Source organism: Homo sapiens, chromosome 14 (assembly GCF_000001405.40).
Source record: "Homo sapiens chromosome 14, GRCh38.p14 Primary Assembly".
Classification (NCBI taxonomy): domain Eukaryota; kingdom Metazoa; phylum Chordata; class Mammalia; order Primates; family Hominidae; genus Homo; species Homo sapiens.
Window position 1 is genome coordinate 80,146,891 of NC_000014.9, and position 19,881 is coordinate 80,166,771.

At 35.7% G+C, this 19,881-nt stretch overlaps 1 long non-coding RNA gene across 1 annotated transcript; it reads left to right on the forward strand.

Moving 5' to 3' along the window:
* Positions 1-596: 596 nt before the first annotated feature.
* Positions 597-6,839, forward strand: LOC105370591 (uncharacterized). Its single transcript, XR_944070.3, has 3 exons — positions 597-699; positions 3,207-3,303; positions 6,622-6,839. It is a non-coding gene; the product is annotated as an uncharacterized LOC105370591 (long non-coding RNA).
* The last annotated feature ends 13,042 nt before the right edge of the window (positions 6,840-19,881 follow it).

The following is a 19,881-nucleotide window of genomic DNA, read 5'->3' on the forward strand; positions in this document are numbered from 1 at the left end:
AGGGGTGTAGGGTAGAAGAAGTCTGAGTGAATACTGGGTCTTCTTGACCACCATAGCTAATATTAAAAAAGATTTAAACCAGCTTCGAATAGCAACTTTTAACCACCACAGTAAATTTCTCCAGTGGACTTTTCTAACCAGACAAATCATCCAGTAACAATTACAATATTTAATAGACAAGTAAACTGGGACTCAGCACAATGCAGTGACTTGCCCATTTGTCATGGCTTGCCAGAATCAAGCTCCTCTTTGTTGCATCCAATGTGGTTTCTCCTATACCAGTTGGCCCATGATGCCAAACTATTTCTCAACCCTTTTCTGAACCATAATCCATTAATTAAAACCATGGCTTAGTTTATTTATGTACTTAAGATTTTAATGGGTTGACCAGTTGCTTCAATGACTGGCTAATTCAAGACAAATGGTCAATCCTATTATAGCCTTAGGTAAATTCAGCTTCCAAGACTTACCTTCCTGTGTATGATGAATGATGTCAATGTGCAAAGTTGTTTGTCAAAGAATAGTGTGAACTCACAATCAGCCCGTTTGGAAAGATTCTAGTGACTAAATGATGATGGTGTCAGTGCTTTGGTAGCACGGTGATGAAGAGTTATAGGGCAAATCGAGCCACTTATTACCCCATCTGAGTTCCCCGATGATAGAGGGCACATTGTGTTGCCATGCCCATGTGAGATTAAGGTAATCATTTTAACAATAACAGACTAAAGCCATTAGGAAATATTTATTAGTAACTATTAAGCAATTCCTACCTTTGATTTTGGGCTGAGTGTTGCATTGTCATTAAAGTATACCTGATTTACATGATTTGGATATATTGATATGATCAAGAGCAGAGTCCTGCATATTGTATGGGAACTACCACTAATGATCTAATTGTTTTGCTCTCTCAAAGCATGGAGCAATATACACTTACAGACCAAGAATCCTGATAGAGTTGGAAGAAACAACATTTGAAACTCCACGGATAGTCTACTTAATGTCCCTGAAACTATTCACTAACTCATGGTTTTGTAACACAAACATGGTAACCTTATTAATGATAACTTATGAATAAGTTGAATTGGAATTGTTTATCTTGGATAATTATCTCAACAATCTGCAGGCTTTGATACCATTGGACCTAAAGTCCAACTGAGGTGACTATGAGCTTTGGAAGAGATGAATAGATTTTATTACAGTGGATCCTTTCAAATTTCCTGAAATTTGAAAAGTACTTCAAAGAATGAAGTACTTGAAGACTGCTTATCTATCTAAAAGATCAATTTATGCCTCTCTTAATCGTCACAAGCATAAAGCTATTAGAAAAGAGAATGAATGAGCACACTGAATGCCAATCTTACTATTGTCTTAATTAGTAGCAAATAAAAAACTGGCATGACTACTTATCCCTACTTTACCTTCTCCCCTTCACCTAATATACTATTTTCCTCCAAATCTGCCATATATACTCACCCTTTGCCATTAGATCCCTGGAAATTTCACCTTTTCCATAAAGTCTAAATAGAAGTGTGAAGCTCTAAGTAACCTCCTTGGCTAGAGGATTAGAGGGAGCAAAGTCATTTTGATTTCTTTATATAACGACTTTCTAAAAAACATATTTGAAAAATATTTAATTAAATTTATTGTAATTTGTTATATTTTAATTAAATATTTTTGCTAAAATATTTTTAAAGCTTATTAAAGCACAATATTAAAACTACTTTTAAAAGGTATTTTAAAATATTTGTAATAAACAGGATTTAATTCCCTTCTTTAAAATACATGATTTCCCAAATTTTCCTGCACTAAGGTAAATACAGCTCTTAAAAGCATCTAAATAGCTAAATAAGATGGCAATATAATTGTGATTCATATTGACATTTAAGGAAACAATATGGCCTCCTGAGGTTCCTTTAGATATTAGTGTCCAGAGGTCAATGAAATAACCAGCTTGTTGCAGATCAGCTATCCAAGTCACAGTCTTCATACAACTGTGGTATGGTGATTTGTATACTTATATGTTATTTTTAATTTATAAATAATAATTGTATATATTTATGGGGTACAATGTGATGTTTTGATATATCTTTACAATGTAGAGTGACTAAATTGGTCTAATTAACAAATCTGTTACCTCATATACTTATTATTTTTTGTGTTGAAAACAAAATCTTTTTTATCAGTTTTGAAATTTGCAATGTGTTTTTATTTATTATAGTCACTATTCTGTGCAATAAGTCACTAAAGCTTATTTCTGTCATCTAACTAAAACTTTGTACCCTTTGATCAACATCTTTCCTTTCCCCAATCCCCTCCCTTTCTGAGCCTCTCGTAACCAATGTTCTATTCTCTACTTCTATGAGTTCAACTTTTTTAGATTACACATAAAAGTGAGATCATGTGGTGTATGTCTTTCTGTGCCTGGCTTATTTCACTTAGCATAATATCTTCCAAGTCCATTCATGTTGTCACAAATGATGGGACTGTCCCCTTTTATAAGGCAGAATAGTATCCCATTGTGTATATATCCATTTTCTTTATCCATTTATCTGATGATGAACACTTAGATTGCCACCACATCTCAGCTTCTGTGAATAACCTTGCAATGAACATGGGAGTGCAGATACCACTTTGGCATATTGATTTCAATTTACTTGGATATATACCCAGAAGTGGAATCACTGGATCATATAGTAATTCTATTTTTAGTTTACTGAGGAAACTCCATATTGTTTTCATAATTGCTATATTAATTTACATACCCACCAACACTGTGTAAGTGTTCCCTTTTCTCTACATCATTGCCAATACTTATCTTTCATCTTTTTAATAATAGCCATTCTAACATGTGTGAGGTGATATCTCATTGTGGTTTTAATTTGCATTTCCCAAATGATCAGTAATGATGAGCATATTTTTACATACTTGTTGGCCATTTGTATGTCTTCTTTTGAGAAGTGTGTATTTAGGCCTTTTGCCCATTTTTTGATTGGGCTCTTTGTTTCTTGTTATTTAGTTAAGTTCTTTCCATTTTAGATATTAGCTCCTTATTAGATGTGTGATTTGCAAATATTTTCTCTCAATTTCTACATTGTTTTTCCAATCTGTTAATTGTTTCCTTTGCTGTAGAGAAGATTTTTAGTTTAATGCAATCCCATTTGTCTATTTTTGCTTTTGTTGCCTGTGCCTTTGGGGTCATATTCAAGAAATTTCTGCAAAGACCACTGTCATGGAGCCTGCAATTCAGCACGCGGCTTCTAGTGCCATATTGCCTAGATTTTAAATATTTCCTTCATTCTACAAGTAAGTACGCTAAAATAAATAAGCTAACATCTCTGTCTATTTTTCCTCAAATGCAACATCAGGGTAATACTAGTGTCTACCTCCTTGGATTATTCTAAATTGGATTTATGCATTATTATATATTATGTATTAATACATACTGTTATAATTAATATAAATGAAGTGCTTAGAGTAGTGTCTAACACAAAAGAGCTGTTATTTTTCACTTGGATATAGTTGGCTTTTCCTCACCTCACATGGGCAGCTTTCACTTGCCAACTACTTCAGATTCCTCTTCTGATTCACCCATGCCTACACCTCACTCTGACACATAGTACCACAGAAACTCCTTAAAAGTAGAGACCACATCCTTTACGTTCTTGGGTTTCCCACATAACCTAGCATTGTATTCAGCATAGGGTGGGTAAAAAGTAATGATTTGTGAAAACAAGTTGTCCTGTTTATCCCTAGACAAGAAATTGTCTGTCAGCCACCCTTCTCTCTCTGGTGTCTTGATGAGATGACCCTAATGTCACTCTTGAGATTAATTAAACAGAAATAAGCAGCATGACTATGATGAAGCCATTAAATCTTATAGGGTGTGATTTGCAATATCTTCATTACTTAGTACTCAGTTAATTATTGGGCGAAAGGAAAAAGGTCAAAAACACATGTAAAGATAGATGCCAGCTAATAAGCCCTAATATTCAGAGTATGAACTGTAATAATTCCCTTAGCATCCACAGGGATTGGTTTCAGGACCACTGTGGATACCAACATTTATGGATGCTCAAGTCCCTTATATAAAATGGTTTAGTATTTCATGTAACCTACATACATCCTTCCATATACTTTAAATCATCTCTAGATTACTTATAATACCTAATACAATGTAGATGCTATGTAAACAATTGTTATACTGTACTGTTTTTTATTCCCATTGTGTTTTATTGCTGTATTTTTATTTTTGGGGGTATTTTTGATCCACGGTTGGTTGGATCCACAGATATGGAACCTGAGGATATGGGGTATCCACTATATAATGGTCAAATTACTATTTCTGAAAAATAATAGCCACATTAAGAAATGGGATGAAAAGAAATCAAATTACAAATTTCACTGACATATAGCCAAGAATCTAGTCTACCAAAACACCCTCTACCTTAACCAGTTACCTCCATAATTCTCATACAATAGCCAAAATTAAATACTATTAAAACATGAGGGACAATTCAGTCAATATAGAAAAAATGAAAGGGTAAAAAGTGTTTTTCAGCAAAAGTTACATCTTTTTACCTCCCTCTGGTTTTTGTTTTTGTTTTTTTCATGTATATAGGGATGGATGAGTGGTAGACCTCTGTATGATATATAGAGTTTTTCTTCCAACTTAAGTATTCTATGATTCTAACCTTGACCAGACAACCAGAAGCAGACTATATATTATATTTCTCAACTCCTCGTGCTGACATGATCCATGGCCATAGAGAAATAAAGTGGGACCAAGGAAAGTAAAAATGAGTCTTTCAGGAGGAGAGCCCTGAGTCACCCATCTAGTACTGATCTAGTAAATGACTTTAATAACACCTCCAAAGAACAAAAGAAGAATTTTTATACTTAGTCGACCTTATCTTTCCAAGGTTCAGCCAGGCATTTTAGGGCTACAGACAAATAAATGTGAGAAGGACACAGCCTATATTTTTTAAACTTAAAAATGACATTTTTAAAGGTTCTCTCTAAATCAATGTTTTATAAATTCAATCACTTCAAATGTGTTTAAAAAGTTTGGTATTTCAAGTAACTCTAGAATGATTCTTTCCACATAGCAAATGATTGGCAGTTCATGTATGTGATTGATATATTCACTTTTGTAATTAATCAGAGTCCATCCCTAACAGAAAAAAAAAAAAAAGTGCCATAACGCCAGAGGTTTCTTATCAGGTTTATTCTTGCCTTTGTTTTGTAAAGACTAGGCAAGTTAATATATGTAAAGCTTTTCAAAAGAGTCTAACAGTTGTAAGCATTCAAGAAACATCAGCTGTTGTTGCTCATGTCTTTTTTCTTTATGGTAGTATGCTCATAAATTCCCAAAAATATTCCCTAGTGAGGTGGGTTGGAGAAACCCTCTTTTTAGAGAAAAGCTTGCTTTTCTATGAACCTCTCCTCACTACCAAATTCTCCCTAAGGCAAATAAAAGCTCTAACTGGAAAAACAGGACTCAAGTAAATTCTTTAGAGGATTTCACAATCAGATTTAGCCCAAGTAATGCATAATTCATAATACTGAGTTCATATTTTGGCTAAGACAAAAAGTCAGCTATTAGTCTTACTTATATTAATTTAAGTAGTAAAATCTCACTTGTATTTCTACTTAGCCTTTTATTGTCAAGTCTAATTACTTACTTAAGTAAGTTTATCTGCCCTGATTATCACCTATAAAAATTAAGAGTTTTATCTATGTTTTTCTTTCAAATTTCACAAGTTCTTTTGAATTTCAGAAATTTTAACACCTAAACCAATAGATATATTTTTACATGCTACCCGTTCTGATAAAAAGTATAAAGGAGGCGGTATAACATAGAATTAAAAGATGGGTTTTGGAATCAGACACAGCTTTCCCCTTCTATTAATCATTAGGCCTTCAGCACATTCGTTATCCTCTTTCAACTTCAGTTTTCTCATTTCTAAGATACTGACAAAAATAGTTAAGAGTTTGTAGAGTTATTGTGGAAAATTAAGTAATTTAAAATAAATGTTCATAGTAAATTCTTGATGTTGGCAATTCTACAAAAATTGCTGAGGTGGGCAGAATTCCAGAGGTCATTAGTATAACCTTTGATTATTAGCTTCAACAACTATTCATTTAATTAAAAATTAAGTAAAAATATAATATATATACTGTTCTCAAGTACAGATATTTACTTTGACCTTGTACATTGATATTCACTCAGATCTAAGTACACAAACACACACATATATTTACATAGTTATATGTCCATTCATATGTGCCTTTATATGTACAATATGAATATTGTTGGTCTGTGACTTCCTTTGAACAAATTTAACGACATATTAACCATTTATTTTCTGGACTTGGGATTGGCTCAGCGTATTCTCACTGAAACTCAAATTTTCCATGTTTTTCCATTAGAAAACATTTTCTGTTTTCCTACAGCTTTGATAATGCCTAGTAATGAGAATTCTTCATTCATTATCTGTTTGAAAAACCTAATGTGTTATATTTAAATCTAGACCATCTATTAAAACTTTAGAAAGAGCTATCCTTCCTTCCTATAACCATCTCTAACCCATCAGTTTTCAAATACATTAATTTATGTTACAGGATCACATCCAAGCCCTGCATTGTTTACCTGGACGGTACCAAAACCTCTCTTGCTAAAAAATACGAAAATTACCCAAGAATAGGAAAGCATCCAATTCCTTCCATATTGGTAAATGTTGGTGTTTGAATGTATGGGGACTATAAGTTTGAGGAACCTATGGGTGTTTACCAAATAACGTATTGTACTTTGTAATAAAGATGATGTTACTAACTTATCTTCACAACACAGCAGTTTCAAATTGTTTTTCCAATAGAATAATGTATTATATAAACATGCATATTCTTAAATAAATTTTGCCCTATCTGCTCCCCATCCCCTGCTTCTTTCACTTCATTCCTTTCTTAATCAAATATATTTATGGCTGGGGTAAGTAGGGTTGAGAGTATAATATGTATTCTCCAATAGATAAAACATAACTGGCCCATACTGAGCTCATGACTCTGACTTCATTAAATGCTTACACTCATTCATGGAGCTAACTGGCCTACACTTACTTGATATTAATTGGGTTACTGATAAATTAAATTAGCCCTAGTATAATTTCAATATCCTTATAAACTCAAGAAAAAATCTTGGCTAGCTAGTGAAGTTACGTTATCGACCTTCCCTCTATTACTTAGTAACCAAAACAAGATACTCTTTGAATCTTTAGGGTTCTATTTTGTCTCTGACCGGTATTTTTCAACATTTTGTATGTGTGTGCGTGTGTATGTGCATATTAGCTGTTACTGCATCTAGAATTCTTTTATGCCTAAATCTCCTGGTTTCTTCTTCCCTATTCCCTCACTATTTATGAATATGCTAAATATTTTTGCCATGGCATAACATTTCTGGGTTTTCTATGAAGTTGATTGTCTGTGCATCATTTTCTTGCCTACTTTTTAAAAAACTTACTGTCTGTTTTTCCTTTTCTCTCCAATTGTTCCTGAACTTTCACTTAAGGCAGAATTTCATTATTAGAGTGGAATTAAGACAAAGAACAGGAAGATATTAACTCATTTAACTCATTAGAAAGCAAAAACAGGATTTAATGCAGCCTAAGGTCTGTTTTAGGGAAATTCTAATTTCTGCTCAGGAATCTGTAGATATACTTAAGCTATTTCAGGCTGGCATATAGTCCTTATATTAAATAATAATAATAGCAGTAATGATGAATTTATACTAATACAATATTAGAAAACAAAATTTAATGTAAATACTACAAATATTGGCATATGTAATATACTAGAATCTAAAACTATATAACAGATGCAATAATATAAATATGTCATACCTATCAATATTGATTTATATGAGATAATTAAAATCATTGCTATGATAAATAGTATCATAGTCTTACAGTATTAATATTATAAAATAATATTATTATGCTTTTATTTACTTATATGATTAATTCCAGGAACAATGCCTTTTATGTCATTTTTAGTTCCATTGTGATACCTGGCAAAATAAGAGATATATATCTCCTATTGGCTTTGTCTTTCTGGAGAACATTGACTAATACTGGACCAGCCTGAAAACATCATTAAATATTAGGAAGTTCTCTGTTGCCACACATCTAAGCCATTTCTTCCAGTTCAGTGTTGAGTAATAAAGCTAAATTTTTCATCTCTAGGATTATCTTTCAATTCTTTGTTTTATCTCTTAAGTGGTTCCTAACCCACCTGATAAAGAGAGTTGCTCTTCATTGGGTTTCCTCAAACCTAACACTGAGCTAGACAAGAGAGAAGAGACTGATTCTAGATAAGGCAAGTGGCAGACATGAGTGCTACTTGCTGGTGTTCCTGGTTCTTCTCTTCTTCCAAATATGCAAGTCAATTGCATGCCTTAGCCCCTTAATATCAATGAGCAAAATGACCTGTGTGACTTCCACATGGAAGCATTTAAGAGCTAGTGCACCAGAGTAATTCTCTACCTTCACTGTTCTATTCTGCCATAAAAATCATAGCTACATACAGTGAAATCGGGCATCCTGTAAGCATGGAGCATCTATAGCCCCGGTCCCTGCATGACTACAATAAATAGAACTGCTGAGCCAAGATGGACTTGAAATGTGATGGGGAATAAACCTTGGCTGTTTTAAGCCATTGAGATTTTGGAGTTCTTGGTCATGGCTGCAGATGATGAGATCAAGATACATCTTTCTGAGGAAGTACAGTGACACTGAAGCTGAGGCTACAGATAAGAAAGAGCTGGACTCATGCAGAGTAGAAAGATCATTTTACACATAAACAGCTGCCACAAAGGACCTTAGAAGATAAGCAGCACAGAATATTTAAGGAACTAATGAAATTCCTGCTTGAATACAATCTGAAAGAAAGGGACAGTGGCCCAAGTGTTGTCCAGGCCAACTCATTCTAGCTCCACTCTCTTATAAAGAATCAGGGAGAAAACTTGAACCCCAGAAAGTCAATATTGGTGAGCACCGTTGATCTAGAACATTCTGCCTGCTCCTGATTATCCTGCTCTCTGAGAAGACAGAGATGGGAAGTGTTTAGGAGAAAGTAGAGAAAGGTAGCTTACAGAAATAATTTTCTTAATAGCAAAGCACCATTATTTGAGTCCATGATAAACAAGACATCCTAGTGAGCCTGGGTATGGACAGCAGAGGCAGAATCAAACTTTTCAGGTCTAAGGAGGCCCCAGCAGGGGCCTCTTTAGGGTCCTGAAAATGAAGGTTTCAGAAGCTTATCTTTATCAGCTTCACAGTAACTCACGTTTGTGTGATCTTCTGATTTTAAAACACTGGTGCTGTTTCATTGTCTACCATGATATTCTTCAAGCTTTTAAAAACTTGAGTTTCCTCGAGGTACATAAAAATATGATCACCCTCCACTCCCCATCATTGCAATTGTAAAAAATCTCCTGACTTTTCTATGATCCCCCACCAGTACACAGACCATCAACTCACTTAGATATAACACAAACTTTTTGGAGTGATATTAAAATCCCTTCACAAGCAGATCCTCATCTGCATTTGCAGGCCTTCACACCAGACAACACAGCATTTCCCTTCACCAAACCACATGGCTTATTATATATATATATATAACTCATGCTAAATAATTTCTTAGGCTGTGAATCTCCTACTCCTTTATTTTCAATAATTCACAAAATTGTGATTTTTCTTTAAGATTCAGCCTGAATGTCTTCCACGATATTATCACTAAATTTCCTAGATCTATTTATTCTATTAATTAAGTCCTTTTCTGTGTTCCTTAGTATTCTATTATGGCACATACTAAATGGCATTATTGTTACTTGTAGCTGTGTCTCTCTCTGCCATTGGAATATAGTGTCCTACATGGAAACTAGTACTTGCTGGGTGTTCAACAAATGTTTTCAGTTGGAAGCTTTGTAGGGTGAAAGGAAGGGAAGTAGAGCTAAAAAGAAGGTAGAAGACAGCTCCCCAGTTGAGAAATGTATTTTTTAATGAAACTCCTATAGCAACACTTAGCTTTTGCCTCCTTGTGATTTGTTTCTTTCCATTTCAAAAGTTGTTCATATTTCAGTAAATATGAGTCACCTGCCTTATTGTTACTTGTAGCAGTATCATTAGTGAGGATCCTTCAGGGAATGGGCCCTTAAGCATTTGCTTCAAATGACAGATGACTGGTTCCATGCTATTAAACTGATCTCTCACCCCATTCCAGACCCTAGCCAGACACTGGAAGCACTAACACCATCATAATTCTTACTCTGGACCTTCTATGAACCAGTTTACTTTCAGGATGTTGTTCATTTGTTTTGGCTGAACACATCAAGTTTCTCTGAACGTTTACTGCTCTCCATTCAGCACAGGTCAAATCTCCTTCATAAACTCTGCCTTCACATGTGAGACTTGCCACTCTCCTCAGACACCCTTTCCACCCTACCTCTGCAACTCTCTTATAGTCCCTTCTTCATCTGCAAGGTTATTCTCATTTTCTATTTCCAGAGTTCCAAATCTCTCCTGACCCAAAGAATCTCGTAGAGGTCAGAAAGAGGTTCCTTGTCATTTACATTCTGCTCAAACAAAAAAAAAAAAAAGAGGAATAAGAACTAGAAAACAAACCAGATCATACTGGGTATTGGGCAATGACATTAACTCTCCCTGCGTCCTTTCCTAATCCAGCTACTCTAACGTCATTGCTCCTTCCTCCATTCTCCCCGGAGTATTATTTCCAATATTTGTTATCATATTCTATATCATAGTATTTGCACGTATTCTAACTTGGCCTAAATTGTGAGGTCCCTGAGGGCAGAAATGTTATGTTATTTACCTTTCTCTCCATAGCATCTGACACACAGCACATACTTAATAAGTGGTTTTTGAATTGAGTTACTTTAATCACCTGACTCCTGAGACCATTATCAGGGTTACTTATCCCTTAAAGTAAATTGCTCCATCAACCTTTTTTTTTTTTTTTTTTTGAGATGGAGTCTCTCACTGTCACCCAGGCTGGAGTGCAGTGGTGCAATCTCAGCTCACTGCAACCTCTGCCTCACAGGTTCAAGCAACTCTCCTGCCCCAGCCTCCTCAGTAGCTGGGACTACAGACATGTGCCACCACTCCTGGCTAATTTTTTATGTTTTTAGTAGAGACAGGGTTTCACCATGCTGGCTAGACTGGTCTCGAACTCTTGACCTTGTGATCTGCCCTCCTCAGCCTCCTAAAGTGCTGGGATTACAGGCGTGAGCCACTGCACCCGGCGCCATCAACCTTTTTGAAAATAAAAACACTGAACATCTTTAATATATATACACATATACACGTGTTTATATATATATACACATACACATATACATGTTTATATATGTGTGTGTTTATATATGTGTGTGTGTATATAAACACATATATATAATGGAAAACTCACATTTTTGTATATATGAAAATATATTTTTATATACATAATACTTTTCATGTATATATTTTATATATATATATAAAAATACAGATAAATGTCAGATAGTTTTCCAAGATTTTCAAAAAAAGCAGCCATCTCTGTGTTCCTTTCCACCCCTGACCTCATCCTCAGAGGCAAACACTTCAACTCCTGTATTCCTTCCCACTACTTGCCTCTGCATGTGTAAACGGTACACAGTGATCTTTCTTAACCCTTCCCATGGTATTAAGTGGAAGATAAGGGTTGAGCTTTTTACGTGCTTTCTTTTCCCCCACACGTATTTTACCTCCTTCCAAACTCCAATAGAGTTCAACTCAATTACTCCTCAGGCCCTCTACCCTCTCATTTCTATCTGGAACGTTGCTCTTGGGGTCTGTTTCATAGCTGCCATCCTGAGATTCCCCCCTCAGCATCATCTTTGCCTTTTTTTTTCAGTCCTCTCCTGTGCTGATTTCCATGTTTCCTGGATCCCAGATATTTGTATTTTTGTGTTTATTTCTTCCTGTGTTGCATCATGTCTTCAGCACTTTTTCAATATATCTTTTATAAAAAACTAATACTCACTTTTTGGGAACTTACATTTTTGAAAACTTGCATGTTTTTAAAAAAACTTTTATTCAATTTTCACACATAATGGGAAGTTTGGCTTAAAATAGAATTATAGGTTAGAGATGACTATCACATGGAATTTGGAAGGCATCACCTGCCTTAAGAGGTTCCAGTGAAGTGCATGTAAAGAATCTCTTAGATTATGTGAAAAGGTGAATGAATGCTTGTCTGAGGGATGCAAGACACAAATCCAGGTAAGCCAACTGGAGAGGCAACATTGGAGGGAATTCAGAAGATGGAGATGAATTTGAAAAATGAGGCAGATTTTCCAAATCATCGTTGATTCAACCATGACAGAACAGGGTAGAAACTGGGAAAGCCTGAAGAAAGCAAAAGGATTGGAAGTAGAGACTTTTATGTGGAGCCAAAAAAAAATGTCCTGGGACAAAATAATAAATAAAATAAACTACCTCCGGTTGCTTTCGACTTGGTGCCAGCAGCTGGCTTAGAGAGAACCTCTTCAAGGGCTGACCAAAGTCTTGACACCTGGGCTTTCTCCCGCCCCAATTTCATTTTCTTAGATGAAGTTAGCTCAGCTCTCATTAATTCCTATATGACCTTAAAATATAAAACGTAATCACACCAGGCAACAAGGCCATTTGTCTCTTCTTGCAACTGAGGACCTTTTCAGTCCAGCAACTAAGGCCACAAACAAAATGGCTCAAGTGTTTTTTCAAATTGTCCTGCTGAAGAGGATCCTTTAGTTCTACAATGTTAGGCAGCTGCTATCCCTGAAATTGAAAGGTTGGGAACACTGGCCAGGACAGAAACAATCTATCTGATTGCTGAGAACTCCAAACAAGCATCGAGTACAGAATTCCATGAAGATAGAGAATTCCATCAAGATATAGAATTCCATCTGAATCCATGTGCAGTGATACCTGTGTCTTCCTTGATGTGCTGTTCCATTCTGCTGGAAAGTGTCTCTTTGGCTTTGGTGCTAATGTATGCTTCATCTTTCATGATAATTGTGATAGAGCTTCAGGATAATTCCTTAAATGGCACTCAATGTGCCCTACCCATACCACACCAGAGTCCAACAATGTTTCCTAATCAAGGACATCAGATGATATCAACAGTCGGAGACCATCACCTATTGCTGCTAAGTAAAGTGTGCAAAGATCTCTTGCCTCTTCCAAAACAGATGGGCTTATGTATCTGCTTTGAGCTTTGGGTATTTATGATGCTAAAAATGCGCTGGAGGAAAAATAAAAAAAGGCATCCCTTAGTATCCCAAGTAAAGTAAAGAAAAAACGGGAGGAATGTCATAAAAGGGATGTAAATATCTTCTGCCATGCCTCCTCCTTCTTTGCTGAAAAGTTGCAAGGTTTTCCTATAGGCCTTGATTCACAAATTGTGGTCCACTTGACAGCAGCGTCTGATCCCCAGGGATCTTATTAGAAATTCAGAATCTCAGACCCCAGCCCTTCTCAGTCAGAATTTTCATTTTTAACAAGATCCCTAGGTGATTCATATAAATATTAAAACCGGAGAATCACTGCCTATGGGGACATTGAATCGCAGTGGGAGGCACAGGATGCCGCTATGTTTCATTACTGCTGAAATGGTTAAGGTGATCATTTGGTTAAGGTGATGTCTGCCAGGTTTCTCCACTGTAGTTACTTACTTCCCCTTTGTAATTAATAAGCATTTTACCCTCAGATACTTTAAACTACACAAGTATTTTTGCCCCCTAATTTTAATATCCATTGACAATAACTGACTGCAACAATTATTACGATGATATTTGCCAAATGGTGACTTTTAAAATTTGTAATTGACTATTTTTGAGAATAGTTTTAAATTACATATACACCCCACAACTAGTTCTATTGTTAAAATCTTACATTAATGATATATTTGTTACAATTAATGAACCAATATTGACACATTATTATTAACTACAGTTCATAGTTTCAGATTTCCTTAGTTCTACTTAAGGTCCTTTTCTGTTCCAGAATCTCACCCAGGATACTACATTACATTTAGCTGTCCTGTCTCCATAGGCTCCTCTTAGCTGTAAAAGTTTCTCTGGCATCTGTTTTCACCACTCCTTCCTCATTTATAAATTGGAATTCAACTTAAAGAGCTATCTCTTTTCCATCACTTCTTTAATTATTTACATCTATATGGACTCATGGATATTTATTTATTCTCTGTGTTTTAAGCCATTACCATCATTATCTGTTTTATTACACAGATGGACTCAGATGTGTTATTTGGGAACTTCCTCCAGTTAGCTTCTGGACATGCTTCCATCGTTTTTTGAGCACTTGCTTACTTTCTGGCATCATTAAATGTTCTAGGCTCATCTTGTGCTTTCCTGACCCCTTCTTGGAGTCAGACATTTCTCTGAGGAGTCTAGGTCCTTTAATTGGTGAATGGTATTTAGAAACCAAGATCTCAGGGCTGGGTGTTCTTCTGCAACTGGGATATCATTATTTCCAGGCTCTCTTAGCAGCAGAGCTAAAAAATATGTGTATGTATACTGACCCAAGCACACATATACATCTATATCTATTTCCACATCTATTAAAAACCATGAGTTCATACTGATACCTCTGATTCCACCTAACAGCATGGGGTTCTCTCTAATAATAGTCCCTATTACTTATTTGTAAGCTCTTTCTCTAACAATGAGAAAATAAGCTTTCATTATTTATAGTAAATTTACTTATTTATTCAGTATCAGAATATAAATAAAGAAGTTTCAGAATTGCTAATCCAAACCTCTGTGAAAAACAAATTTACTAATTAGAGCACAGTATTTGTGCATAGTTCTTTTTTTATCTTTAATCTTTCAGGATATGGTTGAAATATTGTTTTCCAAGATGACATGTAGGTTAGCTCTTTTCTTCCCCGCCCTGTATTGTGGCAATGTGGTTCATTTATAATACAGCACAATTCATTTGCTATTGTTTTTATTCCATTTTGGGGTTCTAGTGAAGAGAAATCTTTTGTCTTATCAAAGGGTCCTACCTTCAACAAAGAGCTAAAAACAGAGCCAGTAATATTCCAGTATTCCTTGGCATTGTAAAGTATTCCATAAAGAGTGAGAGATATTTTGGCCTCTTTGATCAGTATATGATTATCAGTATTTTTAAATTCCTATCTTAATACAATCCAAATAAGCAAAGTACAGCCTAGTCTGGAAGAGAGAGGCGTCTCTAATTTAGACATGCTCTAAAACAATGATGTGCCTTCTTTTAGTAATTTAATAAAAATTTTAAGCTGAATTTATACATCCAAACAAAACTGGGTTAGAGGGAGAAGAAAGTGACAATCAGTAATCCAACAATGATAAAACATATTAGGCATTTATTGAAATTAGACAGTAGAGTCAAAAATAAGTATCATAGAAAGATCACAGGCACCTAATATTCTATATGGCAGACCAGGTAAGCATAATAAAAAAATGAATAATTTATAAGCGCAAAATACACGTCCTTTTGTTTTGGATGGCTAAAAGTCACGGTAACAGTCTGCATTTTTAGTGGACTCAAGTCAGAGGATCCTAAGCTCTGTTAAAGTAGTAACAGGGACTTATCACCTTTTCCCCTCAAAAAAGGTAGAAAAACCTTCCTTAACTCAAGCGCCGACAGATAATGCACCCAATCTCAAATCTCAGCATGGTCCCCTTAGGTCTTATCCAATGCCTCTATGGTCACTCTTGTCTCTGTTCTTTCCTACTTACATCTAAATCCCAGTAAATCTCTCTCCTGGGTAAAAATTATAGCAACGATCCCTCATTTTCTCTACTGATTAGGAGAAAATGGTTTAATAGAGCTCCAGAAACAAGTACAGATTTGTAAAGACATTTAATGTGGTTCCAGTCGTTTCTGAAGAGGCCCAGTTGCATAACCACCCTTCTCAGAGTTTGGATGTTGTTTTTTTCTTTATGTTATGTGAGATACCCCAGTGCATTCAATGGTAAATATTGTCCCAAAATATTTGTGGCTTCACATAGGATATTTGTATATACTACAGTATATCACATAGTATATCCTACTCATGCGGTCCATACTCTTTTACGTGGCTTTTCTTTGAGCAGTCACTCAGGGACTCAGGTTTCTTCCAGCCTGTGGCTTCATTTCACTTTGGTGTTTGGAGCCTTCTCTATCCAGGGGCCAAATGGTAAAATAAAATGGGATATTGCACATGGGAGGGATTCATGAGCCAGCCAGTGGTACCTATATATCACTTCTGCCCACATTCCATTGGTGGAATTCAGTTATATTGTCATGCCCAATTGCGGGGAGGCTGGGAAAAGAGCACAGTTGAGTACCCATAAGGAAGGAGCAATGGTCTGGTGAAGAGGCAACCTGTCTTTACCATAGCTCATGAACTCCCATTTCAAAGATTCTTATTTTTTGCTTAAACTCATTTGATTTGGTATATCATCACTTGCAACCAAGGGTACAGACTAGTACATGTCTTAGGTATAATAATATAGATTTGACCAAGGACAAGTGCTAAATTCCTCAGGTGAACACTTAAGTAATTGCAGTATAGATTTCATTGTTCTTTTTTGTTGTAAAAAATAAGAACAGAGACTCAGAATGTAAGGTAAGAGACATAAGAGATGGTAAAGATACAATGAAAAGGATCATAATATCCAGCATAATATTAAGGATATGTCATTTTTTTAAGGATTAAACTTTTTCTCTAACCACTGACATGCAATTCTGTCTTATGGGGTGAAGGGATTTCTTTATTACTTTCTATCAAAATCTAAGAGTTTTATAAACTCTTCCAAGTTATTCTCCACAACTCTCTTCATACACCAGTGGTTATTATATTTGTCCATGCATCAAAATAAGGAGCTTATTTAAAACATGAAAGCCCAGGCAAAAACCCTAAAGATAATCAGTCATCAGTTGAGGTTAGGGCTGTGTCTTTGTATTTATTTAATGCCAGAGGTGATTTTGACATGCAGCTAATTTGGAAAACCACTATCATAGGATGTAAGAATAAATGTGAATCTTCTCTTAGCAATAACCATATATTTCCCATAGTTTCTCAAGTTAAACTTATAATTTAAATAATTAAAACATTGCTTTATAAGAACCCAGTGGAAGACATCCAAAATATCTATGAGAATTGTTTCCAGAAGATAGATGGTAGGCACTATGAATGTAGGGCTGTTGCTGGCTGAACTGAGCTGTGCAGGCTTCATAGGGCAATATTATTTGACCTTGCCCTGGTAAGTGGATACAATTGGATAAGAGCATAGGACAGACCACTTCAGACATGTGGAAGCAGCAAAAACAGTCACAGTTGGGAAAGCAGCAGGCAGAGACAAGGGATAAGAAGCAGGCCAGCATAGCTAGAGCAGAAACAATGAAGGAAAAATCCAGAGCAGCATAACAAAATTCTAAACTGTGCACTGTGAGCTCAAAGTGCTATGGAAATTCCAAAAAGAGAGTCATTTGGTTAGAACAGCCAAGAAGACTTCATGAAGAAAGCAGAACTTGAGCTGGGTCATGAAGGACAGTGGGATTCTGTTAACCAGAGAGGAAAGGGGAAAAAATTATTTTTATTTTGATGTTTCTAAAATCCAGCTGACAAAATAAAACACTACCTGGCTGAAATATTCTATTTTTTGTGTAGATGTACCAAGGTCTTATGTGTACAGTTTGATTATTGTAAAATTTTATAATTTTATTATCCAATTTGTTTAAATGTCTATTTACCACATAGTGCTTGAGTAAGCTTTTAGTGAATAATTTTTAATATAAGATAATATTTTAAAAAACTAAATCAAGAAAAAATACAAATAAAAACAAGCATTAAGGAAACAGAGGAATATAAATATATAAGCATGTAAGCATGGATATATAACATAATTAGTTTATGTTAGCCATAATTTTTCTCAGAGTGTCCTGGAAATTCAACCAAAAACAGAAACTCAATGAGTTACACAATTCTCAGTATCTCTAAGAAGAAATTATACTAATTTTTCATGGGAAGAAAAATTTAGTCTGCACCTAGCGGTAGAAGAAATGTATCAACTGCGTTTAAATATTGAACCCTGTCGTCACCAATGGATTTTTTTATGTTTTCTTTATTGCAACCACAGAAGATAAACAAATCACAGAAGCTGCCCAATCGGTAGACCCATCGCAGTCTCTTTGGTGTACTTCATGACACATGAATCGCTCACCCACAGAGAGCCAAAGCAAACTTGATTTTCAATATTTTCCCTGCTGCTAGTCCTAAAACCCTGGAGGAACCAGGATCATCAGAAAGGAATGTTTCTGATGTGTCTATACAGAGATGGTTCAGCTGCTTTGATTTAATTAACAACCAGTCGATTCAATCAATTAACAATTTCATTCCATGAAAAACATTCCACCAAAATTTAGTAATATGAAAATGAAGTAACTCACTAATATCCCAGATTTTTATCTATTCATATGGCTATGTAGACCATGCAGAGAAACAGCTTTTTTTCTTTTCCTATTTTTTTTAGTTCAGATCTGAATATTCTTGAGGAGTGACTAATTATCTCATGATAATGATAAACATCTGCTCCATGCTTTCAGAACTTCACAAGTATAACCATCCTGTGAGATTGTGTTTTCACCTGTGAAACAGGAGGTTCAATGACTCGAAAAAGTCTAAGATGTAGTTATTAATAGACGAGGAGGAGGTATGGTGTTATACAAAGAGCTTTGGAGTCATATTAAACAACAGTTTATTTTCCAAATCCTGCATTTACTGGTAGGGTGGCTTGATATCATCTGCCTAGTTCCAAATTGTAAACTCTATACTCTCAATATTGGTTTCCACCTTTGGCCCTTCAGATTTAGCTTTTATTTTCATTCTCACTTGAAATTTGGTCCTTGGCTCTATTCTTACTATTTTTGACTGTGCCAGCTCCCCTGGCCTCATTATCTTCTTGTTGTCTTGAATCACAACACCCGTACAACTATCTAACTCCAGCAAAACAGAACTCAACCCTTAGGCTGGTCCCTTAGCTAGAGCAGCCCAAACTACTGGCAAGGCATCCATGCACAACACAGGCAACTCCCACAAGCAGTAAACACTAGCACAGGACTCATACCAAATGGCGGGGCACAGGGGAAGACTGGGACAAAAAAGAAAAAAAAGAGGACCAGCTGGGCATGGTAGTTCACGCCTGTAATCCCAGCACTTTGGGAGGCTGAGGCGGGTGGATTGCCAGGTCAGGAGTTCAAGACCAGCCCGGCCAAGGTGGTGAAACCCCATCACAACTAATAATACAAAAATTAGCTGGGTGTGGTGGGGGGCTCCTGTAATCCTAGCTACTCGGACGGCTGAGGCAAAGAATTGCTTGAACCCAGAAGGCGGAGGTTGCAGTGAGCTAAGATTGCACCACTGCACTCCAGCCTGGGTGACAGAGCGAGACTCCATCTCAAAAAAAAAAAAAAAAAAAAAGACCAAAACACAAATAACACAAATATATAATATACATTGATACATGCCCAAAACAACACAAGTCCCTTACCCTGGAGGAAAAAAAAAAAATGTGTTTACATGGATTTAAAGTGAGAGTCTGTAAGCAAAATCTCATAAGCAAATGTAAATTCAAAATTCTCTCCACTTGTTTACTTTTTCAAATTTATAGACAAATCATTTTCCACCAGAGGGAGGTACACATTTTAAATCATGCTCTGACGTGCTCCGTAGAAATAGAACCATATGGAATTTAGCCCTTATTCCAGTGTTGCAGTCCTACTTTTTTCCCTAAATCTGTTGAAAAGATCAGCTTTCGGGACTCTT